A 20,872-nucleotide genomic window follows, 5' to 3' on the forward strand; every position below is an offset into this window, starting at 1 on the left:
GGCAGAGGTTGCAGTGAGCCCAGATTGCGCCATTGCATTCCAGTCTGGGCAACAGAGCTAGACTCCGTCTCAGGAAAAAAAAAAAAAAAAAAAAAAATTGACAGTACTTTGTCCTGGGAAATTCACACTATGCCTAAAGGCTTGCTGTGTTTCATTTCCTCTGAATAAAGTTGCTGTTAGATATGAAGGAAAAAAAATCAAAAGTTCTGTGTATGGCTGGGCGTAGTGGCTTATGCCTGTAGTCCCAACACTTTGGGAGGCTGAGGCAGGTGGATCACTTGATCCCAAAAGTTCAAGACTAGCCTGGGCAACATAATGAAACCCCACGAAACACCATGCCTGGCTAATTTTATATTTTGTATCTCTATAAAAAATACAGCCGGGTGCGGTGGCTCACGCCTGACCTCGTGATCCGCCCGCCTCGGCCTCCCAGAGTGCTGGGATTACAGGCATGAGCCACTGCGCCTGGCCGAACCTGTGTCTTAAAAAAAAAGAAAGAAAAGGCTGGACGCAGTGCCTCACGCCTGTAATCCCAGCACTTTCGGAGGCCGAGGTGGGCAGATCACTTGAGGCCAGGAGTTTGAGACTAGCCTGGCCAACATGATGAAATCCCGTCTCTACTTAAAATATAAAAATCAGCCAGGCGTGGTGCGGGCGCCTGTAATCCCAGCTACTGGGGAGGCTGAGGCATGAGAATTGCATGAACCTGGGAGGTGGAGGTTGCAGTGAGCTGAGATTGCGCCACTGCACTCCAGTCTGGACAACAGAGCAAAGCGATTCTCCTGCCTCAACCTCCCGAGTAGCTTGGACTACAGGCATGTGCCACCACACCCGGTTATTTTTTGTATTTTTAGTAGAGATGAGGTTTCAACGTGTTGGCCAGGTTGACCTCAAACTCCTGACCTCAGGTGATCCGCCCACCTCAGCCTCCCAAAGTGCTGGGATTACAGGTGTGAGCCACCGTGCCCGGCCTAGTAGTTTCTTAATGTTTTGAAAATGAGTTGTTGTTACTGATTTTTTTTTTTTAATTTGTTGGTGGTTGGGAGAAGTCAGCTTGTCTGACACTCACTGGTTTGTCTTAGCCAGAATCAGAAGTGATTACAATTGTCAATGTTGAATCAGTCTTGCATTCTCAGAATAAACCCAGCTAAATTTATGATATATTATTTTAGTACACTGCCGGGTTTAATATGTGATTTAATAATTTTGTCTTTGTTCATGAGACATTGGCTTGTAATCTTTCCTTTCTATCCTTGTCCTGTTGTAGTTTTAAGGTTCTCTAGCTTCAAAAATCAGTGTGGGACGTTTCCTCTTCTCATAGTCTCTGAAGGAATTTAACAACAGGATTTTGCCAGGTGCAGTGGCCCACACCTGTAATCCTGCACTTTGGGAGGCCAAGGTGGACAGCTCACGGTCAGGAGTTCAAGACCAGCCTGGCCAACATGGTGAAACCCCATTTCTACAAAAATACAAAAATTAGCTGGGCATGATGGCGGGTGCCTGTAATCCGAGCTACACTCAGGATGCTGAGGCAGGAGAATTGCTTGAACTCGGGAGGCAGAGGTTGCAGTGAGCTGAGATCCCACCACTTTACTCCAGCCTGGGCAACAAAACAAGACAAGACTCGGTCTCAAAAAAAAAAAAACCAGGATTTTATTTCATGGTTGTGTATAACTCTAGTTTTGAGTATCTTTTCTAGTATAGCTATATCACATTATCCTTTACTCATTCCTAATCTTTATTTGCATCTGTCTTCTTTTGATCTTGATCAGTCTGACAGGGTTTGTTAATTTTATTAATCCTCTTATTTTTATTAATTTCTCTTCTCTTTGGGTTAATTGTATTATTCCCTTACTAATGTCTTAAATTGGAAGCTAATTCATTTTTTTCAGCCTGTCCTTTTATATAAGCTTTGAAGCCGATGCATTTCTCTTTAACTACTACTTTAGCTGTATCTGACAAGATCTGCAACTTCCACTGTGATTTCTTTGACGACTGGGTTATTTAGATGTGTAAATCTTTGTTTTTATATGGGAGTTTATTAGTTATGTTTTCATTACTGGTTTCTAACCTATTTATATTAATGTCAAAAAACATGATCTGGTGGCTCATGCCTACAATCCTAGCACTTTGAAAGGCTGAGGCAGGAGGATCAGTTCAGCCTAGAAGTTTAAGACCAGCCTGGGAAACATAGCAGGACCTCTTCTCTATTTAAAAAATAAATAAATAAATAAAAAATTAGGCCGGGCGCAGTGGTTCATGCCTGTAATCCCAGCACTTTGGGAGGCTGAGGCAGGCGGATCACGAGGTCAGGAGTTCGAGACTAGCCTGGTCAACATCGTGAAACCCCCATCTCTACTAAAAATACAAAAATTAGCCAGGTGTGGTGGTGCGCGCCTGTAGTCCCAGCTACTTGGGAGACTGAGGCAGGAGAATCGCTTGAACCCGGGAGGCAGAGGTTGCAGCGAGCCGAGATCGTACCACTGCACACCAGCCCGGGCAACAGTGCGAGACTCCATCTCAAAAAAAAAAAAATTAGCTGGGCGTGGTGGTGCACTCCTGTAGTCCTAGCTACACAGGAAGCTAAGGCAGGAGGATTGCGCACGCACAGAAGGTCAAGGCTGCAGTGAGCCGTGATGGCACCACTGCACTCCAGCCTGGGTGACAAGACAGAGACCCTATCTCAAAAACAAAACACATGATCTGTATGATACCCAGTCAGTTCTTTGTAATTTAATTTATTGTATATTTTATGGCCAAGAATGTGGTCATTTTTAGCAAATGTTCCATGTGTGAGAAGTATATTTTATATGAGGTTTAGAGTTTTCTGTCTGTGTGCGTGCGTGTGCGTGCGTGCATGTACACACAGATTTTCTTTTTAGTCAGAGTCTATTCATCTATTGACAGACACTTGGGTTGTTTCTACCTTTTGGCTACTGTGAGTCAAACTGCTATAAATATTGGCGTACAAGTATCTGTTTAAGTCTGTTTTCAATTCTTTTGGGTTTATACCCAGAAGTGGAATTGGTTGATCATGTGGCAGATCTATGTCTCGCTTTCTGAGGAACCACCCAACTATTTTCCACAGCAGCTGCATCATTTTATATTCCTACCAGTAATGCACAGGGTTCCAATCTCTCCACATCTTTGCAACACTTGCTTCCACTTTTCTTGATAGCTTTTGGGGTTTGTTTGTTTGTTTGTTTGTTCTGGAGACAGGGTTTCACTCTGCTGCCCAGGCTGAAATTAACAATAGTGCCATCATAGCTCACTGCAGCCTTGACCTTCTGGGCTCAAGCAATCCTCCCACCTCAGCCTCCTGTGTAGCTGGGACTACAGGTGTGCACCACCATGCCCAGTTTGTTTTTTTTTTTTTCTTTTGGTAGAGAAGAGGTCTCACTGTGTTGCCCAGGCTGGTCCTGAACTCCCAGGCTCAAGTGGTACTCCACCTCGGCCTCCTAAAGTTCTGGGATTACAGGCAGGAGCCTTGATAGCTATCTTAATGGGTATGAAGTATCATTATGGTTTTGATGTGCAGTTCCCTGATGACTAATGCTGTTGAGATGTTGAGCATATTTACTGAACATCTATCTTTGGAGAACTATCCTTGTACATTTTAAAACTGGGTTTATCTTTTTGTTGTTCAGTTGTAGGGAATTCTTATATATATATATTCTTGGCATTAAACCCTTATCAGATACATGATTTGCAGAGATTTTCTCCCATTCTGTGCGTTGGCTTCATTTCTTCATAGTGTCTTTTTTTCTATGAGACAGAGTCTCACTCTGTTGCCCAGGCTGGAGTGCAGTGGCACAATCTCAGCTCACTGCACCCTCCACCTCCCAGGTTCAAGTGATTCTCCTGCCTCAGCACCCCCGAGTAGCTGCGATTAATAGGCATGCGTCACCAGCCTAGCTAATTTTTGTATTCTTAGTAGAGACAGGGTTTCACCATGTTGGGCAGACTGGTCTCAAACTCCTGACCTCAAGTGATACACCCACCTCAGCCTCTCAAAGGGCTAGGATTATAGGCATAAGCCACCACACCCAGCTTTTTTCTTCATAGTGTCCTTCGATGCATAAAAAGTTTTCCATTTAATGACGTCTAGTTTATCTGCTTTTTTTTCCCTTCTTTATCTGCTTTTTTTTTTTCCCCTTCTTTCATTGCTTATGCTTTTGGTGTCTTAAGAAACCATTGCAAAATCCAAGGTCATGGAGATTTGGTCTTATGTTTTCATCTGAGAGTTTTGTTTGTTTGAGACAGAGTCTCCCTCTGTTACCCAGGCCGGAGTGCAGTAGCGTGATCTTGGCTCACTGCAACCTCTGCCTCCCGGGTTCAAGTGATTCTCCTGCCTCAGCCTCCTGAGTAGCTGGGATTACAGGTGTCCACCACCAAGCCCGGCTAATTTTAGTATTTTTAGTAGAGATGGGGTTTTGCCATGTTGACCAGGCTGGTCTTGAACTGCCGACCTCACCTTGGCCTCCCAAAGTGCTGGGATTACAGGCATGTGCCACCACATCTGGCTATTTTTTGTATTTTTAGTAGAGACGGAGTTTTGCCATGTTGCCCAGGTTGCTCTCGAACTCCTGGCCTCGAGTGATCTGCCTGCCTTGGCCTTTGCCTTTCAAAGTGCTGGGATTACAGGCGTGAGCCTCCACGTTCATAACCATGATCCCTCTGATTTCTCCCATCCCTCTGTCCCCTTTTAGAACTCTGATAGATGCATGTTCTTTCTCTTCCATGCCTCTGAATCTCTTTTTAGTAGTTTTTCTTTTTTATTACTTAGTCCCTACTTCTGTTTCTAAAAAGATAAAGTACCCAGGTGCAGTCTTATATAATAATTAAGACTCCCTTTTATTCCCACTCTTCTTTAAACTAAGCCAGACACAGGTCCCCACTGTCTACCCTGGGGAGCTCATTTTATTCCCCCCAGCTTAACTATTCATTTAAAATTAAAGTTTTATTCTATTCATGGGGCAGCTGAAGCATTTTGTACCTGAAGCCTTTCAGCCCTCCTCTCCCTGTAGGGCTCTGCTACTCAGGACAAGTCCTCAGCAGGGTTGAATCTCTGTACGATCTCCAGGGTGGCCTTGTTTCTATGATGGCCTGATTTTCCTCCTGCTCTAGTTCCAGAGCCCCTGTTTTATCTCTTTCCATTGTCTTACTATCTCTGCTTTGAGCTCTTTTACATATTCTTGGATAAATGTTACAATTTTCATCTATTCCCTGGCAACAATTTCTGGTAAGTATTCATGTGCCATTTGCTGTTCCTGTAATATCTTTAACTCCTGTGTCAGTTCCCTTTTAATTACTAATTTCTTAATGAGGTGAATTCTTTCTTGATGAGCTCTTGTAAGTAGATCATTGTGAGAGACGGGCCAGGACTGTGTCCCAGGCTGGCAGGAATCTGTACGTGGGATGGGTGCCTGGAAGAGTTCTATCAGGATTTTCTTCTCCACAGGCAACTACAGGGCTCCTCACAGTGCAGGACCTCCCCACCTCTGTCATTCTCCTTGTTGCCGGCTAGGTTCAGGAAAGCTCTTGCTGCAGTCCACACTCTTTCTTTTTTGTTTTTGAGACAGGGTCTTGCTCTGTCACCCAGGTTGGAGGAATGCAGTGGTGCCATCATAGTTCACTGCAGCCTTGAAACCCTGGGTTCAAACAATCCTCCCGCCCCGCCTTGCCTCCTGGATAGCTGGGACTATGGGCATCCACTACCACACCCAGCTAATTTTTGAATTTTTTCATAGAGAGAGGGTTTCACTTTGTTGCCCAGGCTGGTCTTGAACTCCTGGGCTCAAGTGATCCTCCTGCCTCAAGCCTCCTAAAGTACTGGGATTATAGGTCTGAGCCACTATGCCCAAGCCTCCTTTTTTAATTTCAAATAAGAGATTATTTCAAATAAGAGATTATTGGGTATGCTCCTTTTGTTTGTTTGGTTTTTGAGATGGAGTCTTACTCTGCCACCCACGCTGGAGCGTAGTGGGCGTGATCTTGGCTCACTGCAACCTCCGCCTCCCAGGTTCAGATTCTCCTATCTCAGCCTCCCAAATAGCTGGGATTACAGGCATGGGCCACCACGCCTGGCTAATTTTGTATTTTTAGTAGAGACAGGGTTTTACCAGGTTGGCCAGACTGGTCTCGAATTCCTGACCTTGTGATCCACCCGCCTCAGCCTCCCCCATCTTGTTTACTTTGTTTGCTTTTCAGTGATTTCTAAGGGGGTTGGGGATGGGTGGCACTGTCTTTATGCCAGCACCTTTTGTGTGTGGTGGGGGTGGGGGCAAGGTCTCACTTTGTCACTCAGGCTGGAGTGCAATGCTGTCATCACAGCTCACTGCAGCCTCAACCTACCTAGTTCAAGTGATCCTCCCAAGTAGCTGGGGCTACAGGCACATGCTACCATGCCTGGCTTATTTTTGTATTTTCTGTAGAGATGGACTTTTATACCCCGTGGCCTAGGCCTCTCAAAGTGCTCAGCTGTGCCAGTACTTTATGATTTTTTTGAGGCAGGGGGTCTCACTCTGTCCCCCAGGCTGGAGTGCAGTGGCATGGTCTAAGCTCACCACAGCCTCTGCCTCCCAGGTAGCTGGGACCACAGATGCGCACTAGCACACCCAGCTAATTTTTTGTATTTTTGGTGGAGACCTCCTGCCTCCCTAAGTGCTGGGATTACAGGCATGAGCCACTATGCCCGGCTGATGCCAGCACTTTAAAACTAGAAGTCATAATACAAGATCAACCTTGTATTCCTGGGTTAAAGAGACTTCTCGATTAGGATATTTATTTTTTACAATTCTTCTGATAGATCCTATTTGCTTATACTTTAAGACTTCTACATTTATGTTAGTGAAAGTGGTCCATTCTTGGCATGTCCTATCTGCTCTCAGAGTTCTTAAAACCAGTTGCATCATTTTCCATGTTTATTTAATCTCTGGAACGGAATATATAAAAAAGGGATTTCCTGTTCTTTGAAAGTTTTTAATACCTCAGCTGTAAAACTACTTACACCTAGTTCCTTTTTCTGAGAAGAGTTCTGCTTCAGTTTCTTAAAAATATTTATGAGTCTAATCAGATTTTTTATTTTGAGACTGAGTCTCCCTCTGTCACCCAAGCTGGAGTGCAGTGGCGCCATCTTGGCTCACTGTAACCTCCACCCGCTGGGTTCAAATGATTCTCCTGCCTCAGCCTCCTGAGTAGCTGGGATTACAGGCATCTGCCATTATGTCCGGCTAATTTTCATATATTTGTAGAGACGGGATTTCATCATGCTGCCCAGGCTGGTCTTTAACTCCTGACCTCAGGTGATCTGCCTCAGCCTCCCAAAAAGTGCTGGGATTACAGGCGTGAGCCACTGTACGCAGCCTCTCTTAAGACCATGATTTATGTTTTTCTGGAAAATGTTTTACATTTACACTCAGTTTTCATATTTGTTGCCATAACATATCCTCAGGAAATGGGATGGGGTTGGCTTTATATTGTTTGTGTTTTTCTCAATGAGAATGGATTAATGTGTAGATAAAATGAAGACCACCGCCATCATGAAATAATGAGTTCTACCCTAAGGGAGTGTGGGAGGAGATTAAAAGCATGATGCCATCCCACCAAACCCTGTGCTGTGCTAAATCAGTCTTTTTCCACCCTCTGTTTCTCAGTCTTAGGAAAAGTCCTCAGTGCTGTGGGCAGTGCCCAGCTACTGATGTCCCAGAAATTCCAGCAGTTCCGGGGCCTCTGTGAGCAAAACTTGGTGAGTGTGATTCTCCTTCCTCCACAGCAGGGCTTCCAGCCTTTGGCTGCCCACTATACTCTGCCAGCCCCTCGAAGCCTCTGTGCCCTCCTCTGTAACACACACAGCGCGGCTTCCTCATGGTGCTGGAAGGACAGTGGCAATGTGTGTCAGTGTCTAGCACAAGAAAGGGGGCAAAAGTGGCCCTATCAGATCTCTAATATCTTTCCATGTTGAAACAGCCACATGGATGGTAAAGTCAATTAGCACTGGTTTATTTATATAAAATATATTCTGTATCGGCCGGGCACAGTGGCTCATGCCTGTAATTCCAACACTTGGGAGGCTGAGGCGGGTGGATCACCTGAGGTCCGGAGTTCGAGACCAGCCTGACCAACATGGAGAAACCCTGTCTCTACTAAAAATACAAAATTAGCTGGGCGTGGTGGTGCACACCTGTAATCCCAGCTACTCGGGAGGCTGAGGCAGGAGAATCGCCTGAACCCGGGAGACAGAGGTTGTGGTGAGCCGAGATCGTGCCACTGCACTCCAGCACTCCAGCCTGGGCAATGACAGCGAAACTCTGTCTCAAAAATTATATACATATATATTTTTTGGCCAGGCGCAGTGGCTCACGCCTGTAATCCCAGCACTTTGGGAGGCCGAGGCAGGCAGATCATGAGGTCAGGAGATGGAGACCCTCCTGGCTAACACGGTGAAACCCCTTCTGTACTAAAAAGACAAAAAATTAGCCAGGCGTAGTGGCGGGTGCCTGTAGTCCCAGCTACTCGGGAGGCTGAGGCAGGAGAATGGTGTGAACCCGGGAGGTGGAACTTGCAGTGAGCCGAGATCGCGTCACTGCATCCAGCCTGGGTGACAGAGCGAGACTCCGTCTCAAAAAAAAAAAAAAAAAAAAAAAAAAAAAAAAAAAAAACAAAGAAATCCCACTGCTGGGATTGGTGGCTTGGCTTTCTCCCTCCCTCTTACCTGTTAGGAGGGCTGGCCCTGCCAGGGTCAAAAGCAAAGTCCTGGGCTGTTCTGCCTGTGGGAATGTGTGTACTCCCAGCGGGAGGCAGTGGAGTGAGTGTTTGTCTCCAAGACCTACAGAGACTTGGGGGTTGCGTTGTCATGGAACAGAGTGACACGAGGGAAACAACACAGATTCTGTGACCTTTCCCACCTGGGAGTGAATCGGGCTTCTCTCGGTGTCACTGTCACACCATGGCCAAGAACTTCTGTTTCTTCCCTGCAAAACGAGAATACCTGTCTGCTAGCATACACATACATTAGGGACAGGAGTGCCTTCCTTGCCACAGCCCTTAGACTATCCCCCAAAGATCCCCACCACTAGGGCTGGTGCTGACCAGAACTGGCTTAGATTCATTCATACAGATACTTACCCAGACACTAGGCCTCAAGAGCCCCCGCGGGTGCTGGCAGGGCCCAGAGGAACCCTGCTTGTTGGGGGGTTGGGGGGAGCAGGACAAGCCTCTGCTGAGCTGGCCCCACTGATCCCCATCTGGCCCACAGAACCCTGATGCCAACCCACGCCCCACAGCCCAGGACCTGGCAGGGTTCTGGGACCTGCTACAGCTGTCCATCGAGGATATCAGCATGAAGTTCGATGAACTCTACCACCTCAAGGCCAACAGCTGGCAGCTGGTGGAGACCCCCGAGAAGAGGAAGGTGAGCATGGAGCAGTGCGGAGGGGAAGTCCAGGGACAAATTCCTGGTCGGCAATAACGCTGCCCACATCGGTCAGTGCTGCTTGGCTCCCTTCTCCGTGTGTCGTCTTTGAGCTGGGGTCTCACATCCATCACTGCGTGGGGTCCATGCTTGGCACTTGTCTGGCATGCCGCTTGCTCCGTGTAGTTGAGGCTGCCCCTGAAGCATGTGTCCTGCCCTGCATGTCCAGAAAAGGGGATCCTGGGAGAGGCACGCCCACAGCCTCAATCACGTTATAACAGAGGAGGCAGCAAAAATGGTCCCTTCTCCTGGGGCCCTGCTGCCAGGAGTCCTGGGGTCTGGAGCCAGCTCTGTGACCTTGTGGTAGCCAGCCTCTTCCCTGAGGCTTCCTTCTGCAAACCAGAACCAGTGACCCCTGTTGAACCGTGGCCCTGTCTAATCCCCTAGAATAGCCTGTAAAATGGGACCTGAAGCCCTAAATTTGTCTCTGACTGTGACTCGGGCTAGTTCCTGCCCGAGTCTCGGGCTCCCGGTGATTCAACATGAGGGTGGACAATGGGATCTGCCCGTCCCCGCTGCTCGAGCGCTCTCGGAGTCTAGGCTTGCTTTCTGCTCCAGTGCCTTGAGCTCTTCCCACTGTCAGTCATCGCTTCTCGTGGCTTCCTGATTCCAAGTGTGTGTTGCTTGTGCCCGATGCGGGGAGGCTGGGGTGGAGACTCCAGCTGCCGGCATATGGTGGGGGTAGTGCCACACAAAACGTGGCACCTTTATTTTATTTTTGTTCTCTCCTCACTGTCTCACTAAAGGAAGAGAAGAAACCACCCCCTCCGGTCCCAAAGAAGCCAGCCAAATCCAAGCCGGCAGTGAGCCGCGACAAGGCCTCAGACGCCAGCGACAAGCAGCGCCAGGAGGCCCGCAAGAGACTCCTGGCGGCCAAGCGGGCAGCTTCTGTGCGGCAGAACTCAGCCACCGAGAGCGCAGACAGCATCGAGATTTATGTCCCGGAGGCCCAGACCAGGCTCTGAGACCATGCAGGAGGAAAGAAACGATTTTAAATCATTAAAAACACAAAAACTAAGTGCGAACGGAACAGAGTTTTCTCAACCTTTGCTATGGTTATTCTGTCTAGAGACCCTGAGCCAACTTTCAAATTGACGCATACAAGGGCTCACAATTTGGCTTTTTTGGGTCCCTCCCAGCTTTAGGTTATGAAGATTTTACTCACAAAAAAAATCAACAAAAATCACGAAACTAGAAAACTTTTTTTTTCCTCTTGCTGGCCGTGGTGGACTAGATAGATGGACGTCGGCAACTCCCGGCCCAGCCTCCATACTGCGGTCTTTTTACTCGTTCTATCTGATGAGAACTCACACTAGCTTGTTTACAAGATGACGACAGTCCAAGGGCAGCCTTGGGCACCTGCCATGTCCCTCCTTTCCCCAGCTATCCCCGCTCTGACCTTGATTTTCATTCTTATGTTTTTCTCTTTTCCCTTCAGAGCTCACACAGTGGTCACCATTGTGGCAAGCGGCTTTCTGGGTCTCAGCCCTCTCTGCGGTTGAGGGCCCAGAGGACAGAGAGATGGACATGCGTCCCCTCCCTCCCCCCGCCAAGTGCTCACACACAACCTCACGCGCACACACACACACGCAGATGGAGGCGCCTCACTGGGAGGTGCCCCGCCAGCCCTGGGCAGTGTCAGGCAGGACTCACTCACCGCTGAGCAGATGAGGGAAGTTTTAGTCTTGGCGGGTGGAAATGAGACGAAGCCACAGTTATCACACTCCAGACTCCTGCCCTTTTATTTTCTCCAGCCCCTTCTTCCTTCAGCAAAATCTAGGACTCCCGAGTGGCTTCCAGGGGGCCGTCAGTCCTCAGCCGCGCCTGTGTCCGGTGCCCGAGGGGCGGGCGGCGGTGTCTGTATGTATGTGTACATATGCACATAGACCTTAGAGTGTATAGTTAACAAACGCCCATCTGCTCACCCATGCCCACCCAGCGCCGCCGCCGCTGGCTCTCGGGGCACCTGGCAGGAGGCGGGTGTGTGAATAGCATATATTTTTACATGTACTATATCTAGGTGTGTGTACAAGTGTGTGTAAAAATATATACCTTGTGTGTAAGCAGCCCTTTTTTTTTTTGGTCTCCACCCCCCTCCCCCCGCCCCGCACTCCTAAGGGCCCATCTGCCCAGCCTCTGAGTTTTCTGTTCTATTTTTTTTTTAACCCCAATTATCCTTCTCTCTCTCCTGCCCCCGCATCCCACTCCCAGGGTGTCACGAGCCCTGAGCTGCAATGGCCCGGGCCTGCAGGGCGGGGTAGGGGAGGGCAGGGGCTGAGCCCCGAAGCCAGCTCAGTACCTGAGGGGCTGCTCTATGCTGTGTATGCGCCTCTCTGGCATCCGAGACATCCTCTTGGCTGGCGCTTGCTGCAGGGGGGGACCCCCCCCCGTCCCCAGGTGAACCAAGGGTCTGCTCCGGGGCCCATTTCCAGCTTGGCCGCCGTCTGTGACCTTGGGCAAGTCACTTGACCTCTGTGTGCCTCAACTTCCTCCTCTGTAAAACGGGGACAGTCCCTGCCCCTCCCTACCTCACAGGCATGTTGTGAGAATAAATGAGGTAACGTGTACCAAGGGCTTGTGGCATTATTGCAGGGGGATGAGCAGAGTGGGCCCAGGAAACTGAACCAGACCCCTCCCAAAAGGCAGCTCTGTGGAGACAGCCTGATGGGAGTGCCAGCCGGGATGCCAGCTGTCACATGCCAGCTCTGTGATCTGGGGCGGGAAGATGGAGCTGACCGTCCCCTCTCCCGAAAATCAGTGTGCAGCACTTACCAGCTTCCTGTTTGAAATAAACCCTTGAAAGATAGATGCTATCACAGGAGCCAGGATAGGCTGATAAAGACGACCCTAGAGGACAGTTTACACCCCCCACAGATCCACAGTCTGCACATTCTCCAGGGTGGGGTACTCGGTATCCCCCTGCCTGGCAGCTGCTTCCACTCTGTCAGGTGCGAGCCCTGAGTGCATCTCCAGAGCACCTCCTCTACAGGCCCAGTGCTGGGGCAGAGCTCGCTCTGGTGAGGGAGACAGATATTGAACGTGACAGATAAGGTCAAGTCAATGACAGGTGGTAAAAAACAAGACGCAGCAGAATGAGGCTGCAGGACCCCGCAGCGCGACCACCAAACCCAGCCTGGGCAGGAGTGTTCTGGTAGAGACCAGAAGGATGAGTGGGTAGCCAGCTTTCAGGGAGGGAGCGGCACGCAGTCCTGGCAGAAGCAGGAGGTGCCAAGCCCCAGTGGTAGGAACATACCTTTTCCTTTTTTTTTTTTTTTTTTTTTTTTGAGACAGTCTTGCTCTGTCACCCAGACTGGAGTGCAGTGGCGCGATCTTGGCTCACTGCAACCTACGCCTCCTGGGTTCTAGCAATTCTCCTGCCTCAGCCTCCCGAGGCTGCCATTATGCCCGGCTAATTTTTGTATTTTTAGTAGAGATGGGGGTTTCACCACGTTGGCCAGGCTGGTCTTGAACTCCTGACCTCAGGATCAGCCCCCATTGGCCTCCCAAAGTGCTGGGATTACAGGCGTGAGCCACCGCACCCGGCCGGAACATGCCTTTTAGAAAGTTCTCTGGCCAGGCTCTGGAGCCACAGACTCCTGGTCTCCTCCCTTGGCCCAAGCCAGCCAAGAAGCTCGTGATCTCAGGCCCAGGGGATGCACGGACCCTGCCTTCCCAGCAGCTTTGTTCAGGCTACCTCGCCCACCCCAGCGAGCCCCCTGGGAGCCCATCCGAACTGTGGCCAGACCCCTGTGCTTGGAGCAGCCCTTGACCCCGGATCCCAACACACCTGTTAGTGGTGACAGAGCATCTGGTGACCACAGGTGGCTTGGATTAACTCCAGGGCTGGCACCTTCCCAGACCTACCCCTACCCTGAGACCCAGCTGGGGGTGACTTGAAGGGTAAGTGAAGAGGTTTCCAGTTGCATCAGGCATTGAAGCAGACGTTCAGGGGTGCAGCTAGCAGCCGGCTCTCCCGGATGGGCCATGGGGATTGGGGATGGACCCTTAGCCTTCCTGCTTCTGCTGTGGCAGGGGAAGGGACTTGAGGGTTAGATTAGGGTCTCAGGAGGGATCCTGCACTCTATTAAGCACAAGATGGGGTAGGGGTGTCTGATGTACAGAATCTGGACCCCCACGCCCAGCCCTCCTGGCACAGCAGTGGAGAAGACGCCACCTCCATTGAAGGGACAGTATAATAATGAACACATATCTCGCGGCCAGAGTCACCGATTACTGATATTTCACCCATATGAGCATTATCCCTCTCGGATACATACACATCGTTTTCCCCGCGAGCCATCTGAGAGTCAGTGGCATACACTGATACTTCACCCCAAAACACATCATGCAATTCCCAGGCACGAGGACGTTCCTGCACAACCACAATACCATCACCACCCTCAAACTTAAGAAAGGAATGTTCCAGGGAGCACCTCCTTTTATATGAATATGGCCTAAAGCACAGCCCATACGCCAGGTGCCCTCACAACCTTGTCCCTTATACCTTCTCCCTTTTATCCATCCAGGGTCCCATTAAGGATCAGTCACTGCTTTCAGTTACCATGTCTGTCTGGTTTTGTTTTGTTTTGTTTTTTCTTTTCTTTTTTAGACAGGGTGTCACTCTGCTGCCCAGGCTGAAGTGCAAAGAATGGTGTGATCACGGCTCACTGCAGCCTCAACCAACTGGGCTCAATCAATCCTCCTGCCTCAGCCTCCCAAGTAGCTGGGACCACAGGTACATGCCACCATGCCCAGCTAATTTTAAAATTTTTTGTAGAGATGGAGTCTCACTTTGTTGCCCAGGCTGGTCTCAAACTCGTGGGCTCAAGTGATTCTCCCGCCTTGGCCTCCCAAAGTGCTGGGATCACAGGTGTGAGCCACCATGCCAGGCCACCACGTCCTTCTAGTCTCTTTAAAAATCAAAATTTCCCTACTTTTTGGGTTTTGTTTTTCGAGATGTTGATGGCGTTTTGTTTTTTGTTTTGTTTGTTTTAGTTTATTTTGTTTGTTTTGAGACGGAGTCTCACTGCAACACCCAGGCTGGAGTGCAGTGGCGCGATCTTGGCTCACAGCAACCTCCGCCTCCTGGCTTCAAGAGATTCTCCTGCCTCAGCCTCCCAAGTAGCTGGGGACTATAGGCGCCCGCCACCACACCTGGCTAATTTTTGTATTTTTAGTAGAGATGGGGTTTCACCATATTGGCCAGGCTGGTTTTGAACTCCTGACCTCACGTGATCCTCCCACCTTGGCCTCCCAAAGTGCTGGGATTACAGGCATGAGCCACCGCGCCCAGCTGAGATGTTGGTGTTTTTAAAGTATCCAAGCGCACTCTACAGAATGGTGCACTATTTGGGTTTACGTTTTCTCATGGCCGGATTCAGATTAAATGGTTTTCACAAAAATATGACTTAGATGATGTCCCATGTCCTTGTATCTTGTTCCATCAAGGATGCATTTGTCACTTCAGAGAAAGGCTGACAGCAGCTTCCCAGAGAAGCTGGGAATGAGTCCTCAGCTTCTGTGTTTCCAAAGCCTAGTCCTTGAGGGAACCAGGACAGGGACAGACAGGAAGTGCCCTCCTAAAGGCTGCAGGATATGACCACAGAGGCAGCAGAGGGGACAGGAGACTGTCAGCCACCTGTGGGTCCCTGAGAACCCTACATGGCCCAGGTTTCCCTTCTAGAACTCCAAGCTCCCTAGGTTTACATGTTTCCGGAGTCAGCAGAGAAGGCTCAGCTACCGCCAGGAACAGCACTGGGCCCCCAGACCTTATAGACAGGACAGCAGGACAAAGCCACTGCCACCAGGAGCCTGAGGGCCAAGTACCAAGCGGAGGCTGCGTGGGCAAATGCTGTGGAGGACAGACCCACTGAGATGAGGTTTCTAGCACCAGCAGTGGAATGGGCTTTACAACAGCAATTCTAAACAGTCTCCTGCCCATCTGAATCTGTGGCTGATCTGAAAGCTGGTGTGGTTTCTGCTGCCGACCCTGGTCCTACCATATGGCGGCCAGGGGAATTTTCAAAATGCTAACTGGGCTGCATCACCCTCTGCTTAAGACCCCTAAACCCAGGCCGGGCACGGTGGCTGGCTCACGCCTGTAATCCCAGCACTTTGGGAGGCCAAGGCGGGTGGATCACAAGGTCAGGAGGTCGAGACCATCCTGGCTAACACGGTGAAACCCCGTCTCTACTAAAAATACAAAAAAATTAGCAGGGCATGGTAGTGGGCACCTGTAGTCCCAGCTACTCGGGAGGCTGAGGCAGGAGAATGGCATGAACCTGGGAGGCGGAGCTTGCAGTGAGCCAAGATCGTGCCACTGCACTCCAGCCTGGGTGACAGAGCGAGACTCTGTCTCAAAAAATAAAAATAAAAATAAAAACCGAACCCTAAACCCAGTCTCCTCACCTTGGCCTTGGAGGCTGCCACCCACCTCTATAGCCACACCTCCAAGTGAGAGCTGCCCTTGGCCGCCTCAGGGCCTCCCACAGGGTGTCCCGGGCCTCCACCGATGCAGCTGACATCAGCTCTTGCCTCCACTCTCAGGGCAGGTGGCCTTTCCCCAGGGAAATCTCGCCAAGCACCTGGGCCAGGCCAGGTCGGTGCCAACGCCCTGCTCTACACCTGGAGCACAAGAGTCGCTTCCCTTTGCTGTTGTCACTGATGTGATGATGCTTTTATTAATATCTATGTGATGACTTGTGAATATCTGTCTCTACGCAGAAGATGGTGGGCTCCCAAGGGTAGGAAGAGAGTTTTTTCACCAGGTCTCAGTGCCTGGCAGAGAGTAGAGCCTCAAGAATGATTTCCTAAATGAAGAACCTTGGCAGAGAAGGCAATATTTGCTGGGCTTTCAGAATGGGCAATATTTGAACCAAGCTATGGCAGTAAAAGACACAGTGAGCACAGTGGCAGAGGTGTAAGGCTGTGCTGCTGCTCCAGGCGGGGCTGGGGCCAGACTGGCCTTGAATGCCAGGTTAACAAGTAAGGCTTTCAGGCCAGACACGGTGGCTCATGCCTGTAATCCCAGAACTTTGGGAGACCGAGGTGGGTGAATCACTTGAGGCCAGGAGTTCAAGACCATCCTGGCCAACATGGAAAAACCCCATCTCTACTTAAAAAAATAAAAAATTAGCCAGGTGTGGTGATGCATGCCTGTAATCCCAGCTACTCAGGAGGCTGAAGCAGGAGAATCACTTGAGCCTGAGAAGCGGAGGTTGCAGTGAGCCGAGATCACACCACTGTACTCCAGCCTGGGCAACAGAGCGAGGCTCAGTCTAAAAAAAAAAGAAGTAACGCTTTCGGGGGCAGTTTTAAATGGAGCAGGGACATTTCTTGCCACAGAACCCCACTTCCCATAAAACAGGGTCCCCCGGTACCAGCCTCGATAGACCCATGGTACTCTCTGGACCCAGTGAGTCCATACTTTGTCTCCAAAATGTCACCCTAGCCCAGACCCAGTGAAGCCCCCGTGGCCAACACAGGACATGGGCCTTTGGGGCCCCTCTGCTGCCTTTATGGCTTTAACTTTCTGTAGACTGACAACTCCCGCATCTAAATCTCCAGCCTGTATTTTTCCCTGAACTCCACCCTTCCCACTCGACATCTCCACCTGGATGCATAACAAGCAACTCACACATCCATCAACTCCTAACAGTAGAGGGAATTCAGGAATTAGAAAATCATAATTTGGGCCGGGCACAGTGGCTCATGCCTATAATCCCAGCACTTTGGGAGGCCAAGGCGGGTGGATCACTTGAGGTTAGCAGTTCGAGACCAGCCTGGCCAACATGGTGAAGCTCCGTCTCTACTAAAAATACAAAAATTAGCCAGGCGTGGTGGCTCATGCCTGTAATCCCAGCTACTTGGGAGGCAGAGGCAGGAGAATCACTTGAACCCAGGAGGCGGAGGTTGCAGCGAGCCGAGATCCCACCACTGCACTCCAGCCTGGGCAACAGAGTGAAACTAGGTCTCAAAAGAAAAGAACCATTTGGCAACCATCATATTGTAATAATGGAAGCATCCATGCATGTTAAAAGTACTGGTGGCTGGGTGCGGTGGCTCATGCGTGTAATCCCAGCACTTAGGGAGGCCAAGGCAGGTAGATCACCTGAGGTCAAGAGTTCAAGACCAGCCTGGCCAGCATGGTGAAACCCCGTCTCCACTAAAAGTACAAAAATTAGCTGGGCGTGGTGGCACGCACCTGTAATCCCAGCTACATGGGAGGCTGAGGCAGAAGGGTTGTGCCAGGATCGCCAATGAACTGTACTCCAACTGGGTGACAGAGCAAGACTCTGTCTCAAAAAAAAAACTATTGGTTGAAATTTTTATTAGGAACAGAATATTCACAATCCCAAAGTAGCACACCACATATTACTTATTTTCCACTGTTCACGGATTGGAAGACTTAGTTTTGGTAAGATGGCAATACTCCCCCAAATTAATCTACAGGTTTGACACAACCCTTATCAAAATCCCAGCTCCCTTTTCTGCAGAAATTGAGACACTGACCCTAAAATTCATATGGAAATGTAAAATTTACTACAAAACTAATGTAATCAAGGCTGGGCACAGTGGCTCATGCCTATAATCCCAACACTTTGGGAGGCTGGGACAGGAGGGTCACTTCAGCCCAAGAGTTTGAGACCAGCTTTGGCAACACAGTGAGATTCCATCTGTACAAAAAATACAAAAATTAACCAGGTATGGTGGCACACGCCTATAGTTCCAGCTACTCAGGAGGCTGAAACACAAGGATCGCTTGAGCCCAGGAGGTTGAGACTGCAGTGAGCTGTGATCATACCACTGTAGTCCAGACTGGGTGACAGAGCAAGACCCTGTCTCAAAAAATAAATAATTAATTAACAAATAATCAAGATTGTGTAGTACTGGCAAAAGGGTAGACATATATATCAATGAAACAGAATTAAGAGTCCAAAATAAACCCATACATTAATGGACAACTGACTTTAGACAACAGTGCCAAGGTATTCAATGGGGAAAGAAGTATCAACAAATGGTGCTAATGTAACTGGATATCCAAATGCAAAAAAAAGGAAGCTGGACCCTTACCTTGCAACATATACAAAATTAACTCAGTATGGATTAAAGACCTGAAAACTCCATCCTGGCTAACACGGTGAAACCCCGTCTCTACTAAAAGTACAAAAAATTAGCTGAGTGTGGTGGTGGGCACCTGTAGTCCCAGCTACTCAGGAGGCTGAGGCAGGAGAATGGCGTGAACCCAGGAGGCAGAGCTTGCAGTGAGCCGAGATCGCGTCACTGCACTCCAGCCTGGGCGACAAAGCAAGACTCCGTCTCAAAAACAAACAAACAAACAAAAAAAAAAAAACAAACAAAAAAAACCATGAAAGCTAAAACTAGCAAACTCTTACAAGAAAACAGAAGTGGGCCGGGCACGGTGGCTCATGCCTGTAATCCCAGCACTTTGGGAGGCCAAGGTGGGTGGATCATGAGGTCAGGAGATCGAGACCATCCTGGCTAACACGGTGAAACCCCGTCTCTATTAAAAATACAAAAAATTAGCCGGACGTGGTGGTGGGCACCTGTAGTCCCAGCTACTGGGAAGGCTGAGGCAGGACAATGGCGTGAACCTGGGAGGCGGAGCTTGCAGTGAGCCCAGATCACACCACTGCACTCCAGCCTGGGCGACAGAGCGAGACTCCATCTCAAAAAAAAAAAAAAAAAAAAGAAAAGAAAAGAAAACACAAGTGTAAACATTCATAACCTTGGATCAGGCAATGACTTCTTGGGTATGACACCAAAGCACAAGCAACCAAAGAAAACACAGATAAACTAAACTTAAAAGTTAAAAACACTTGTGCTTCGGCCGGGCGCGGTGGCTCATGCCTGTAATCCCAGCACTTTGGGAGGCCGAGGCCAGTGGATCATGAGGTCAGGAGTTCAAGACCAGCCTGACCAAGATAGTGAAACCTTGTCTCTACTAAAAATACAAAAATTAGCCAGGTGTGGTGGTGGGTGCCTGTAATCCCAGCTACTCGGGAGGCTGACGCAGGAGAATCACTTGAACCCAGGGGTCAGAGATTGCAGTGAGCCGAGATCGCACCACTGCACTTCTAGCCTGAGCGACAAAGCAAAACTCCATCTCAAAAAACAAAAAAAAAATAAAAAATAAAAAATAAACTTGTGTTTCAAAGAACACATGTTTATCAAGAAAGTGAAAGGATAACTCACATAATAAGAGAAAATATTTGCAACTCATTTATCTGATAAGGGTGCAATAGCCGGAATATGTAAAGAACTTCTACAGCTCAAAACCAAAAGACAAATTTTTAAATAGGTAAAAGGATCTAAATAGACACTTTTTTTTTTTTTTCTTTTTTTTTTTTTGAGACAGAGTCTCACTCTCTGTTGCCCAGGCTGGAGTGCAGGGGCATGACCTCAGCTCACTGCAAACTCCACCTTCCGAGTTCAAGTGATTCTTGTGCTTCAGCCTCCCGAGTAGCTGAGACTACAGGCACCCACCACCACCCCCAGCTAATTTTTGTATTTTTAGTAGAGACGGAGTTTCGCCATTTTTGCCAGGCTGGTCTCAAACTCCTGACCTCGGGTGATCTGCCTGCCTTGGCCTCCCAAAGTGCTGGGATTACAGGCGTGAGCCACCACCGCGGCCAGCCTAAATAGATAATTCTCTGAAGAAGATACACAAATGTCCAATAATAAGCATGTGAAAAATGCTCAACATCTTCAGTCACTAGATAAATGCAAATCAAAACCACAATGAGATGCCACTTCACACCTAATAGCATGACTAGAATTAAAAAGACAAGCAGGGCCAGGTAGCTGTAGTCCCAGCTACTCGGGAGGCTGAGGTGGAAGGACTGCTAAGCCCAGGAGTTCAAGTCCAGCCTGGGGTAACATAGTGAGACCCTGGCTCTAATACAAACACAGACAGACAAGTATTAGTGAAGAAGTAGAGAAACTGGAACCATCCACTGCCGGTGGGAATTCAAAATGGGACAACATTGTGCAAAATTGTTTGGAAGTTCCTTAAAAGGTTAAACATAGAGGCGTTACCATATGACCCAGCGGTTCCACTCTTATATACCTGAGAAAGTGAAAACGTATATCCACACGTAAACCTGCAGATTAATGTTCACGGCACCATATTCATAATGGACAAAAAGTAGAAACAACCCAAATGTCTATCAGCTGACAAATGCAAAAACAAAATGTAGCATATAGCCATACAACAGAATACTACTTGGCAATGAAAAAGACTGAGGTCCCGGGACATTCTGCAATATGGATGATCCCTGAAAATATTATGCTAAGCGAAAGAAGCCAGACATTGTATGACTGCATTTGTTTGAAGTTTCTAGAGTAAACAAGCTGGCTAGGCGTGTGGCTCACACCTGT

General features: G+C 48.9%; 1 protein-coding gene and 1 long non-coding RNA gene across 16 annotated transcripts in view, besides 1 other annotated feature; one reads left to right on the forward strand and one right to left on the reverse strand.

Annotated features, from left to right (window-relative positions):
• DLGAP4 (DLG associated protein 4) overlaps positions 1 to 12,039 on the forward strand; it is a 222,295-nt gene extending 210,256 nt beyond the window's left edge. For 14 of the 15 annotated variants that reach the window (NM_014902.6, NM_001365621.2, NM_001388265.1 and 11 more), the window contains 3 exons: positions 7,656 to 7,747; positions 9,257 to 9,412; positions 10,219 to 12,039. In NM_014902.6, the coding sequence (NP_055717.2) occupies positions 7,656 to 7,747; positions 9,257 to 9,412; positions 10,219 to 10,437 (467 nt within the window). In that variant the 3' untranslated portion in view covers positions 10,438 to 12,039. Of the gene's footprint in view, positions 1 to 7,655; positions 7,748 to 9,256; positions 9,413 to 10,207 lie in introns of all 15 variants that reach the window. The other variant, XM_011528689.3, reaches the window with a different exon arrangement.
• Positions 1 to 20,872, reverse strand: part of DLGAP4-AS1 (DLGAP4 antisense RNA 1) — a 65,574-nt gene that overhangs the window by 8,893 nt on the left and 35,809 nt on the right. The gene's annotated exons all lie outside the window — the stretch shown is intronic.
• Positions 2,995 to 3,064: an enhancer, noted in NCBI's record as "active region_17808". NCBI's record gives its function as "activates an Ori minimal core promoter by ATAC-STARR-seq in GM12878 lymphoblastoid cells {active_cell/tissue: GM12878}" and the evidence as "EXISTENCE:reporter gene assay evidence [ECO:0000049][PMID:35858748]".

The sequence above is a fragment of the Homo sapiens genome, chromosome 20 (assembly GCF_000001405.40).
Source record: "Homo sapiens chromosome 20, GRCh38.p14 Primary Assembly".
Classification (NCBI taxonomy): Eukaryota; Metazoa; Chordata; class Mammalia; order Primates; family Hominidae; genus Homo; species Homo sapiens.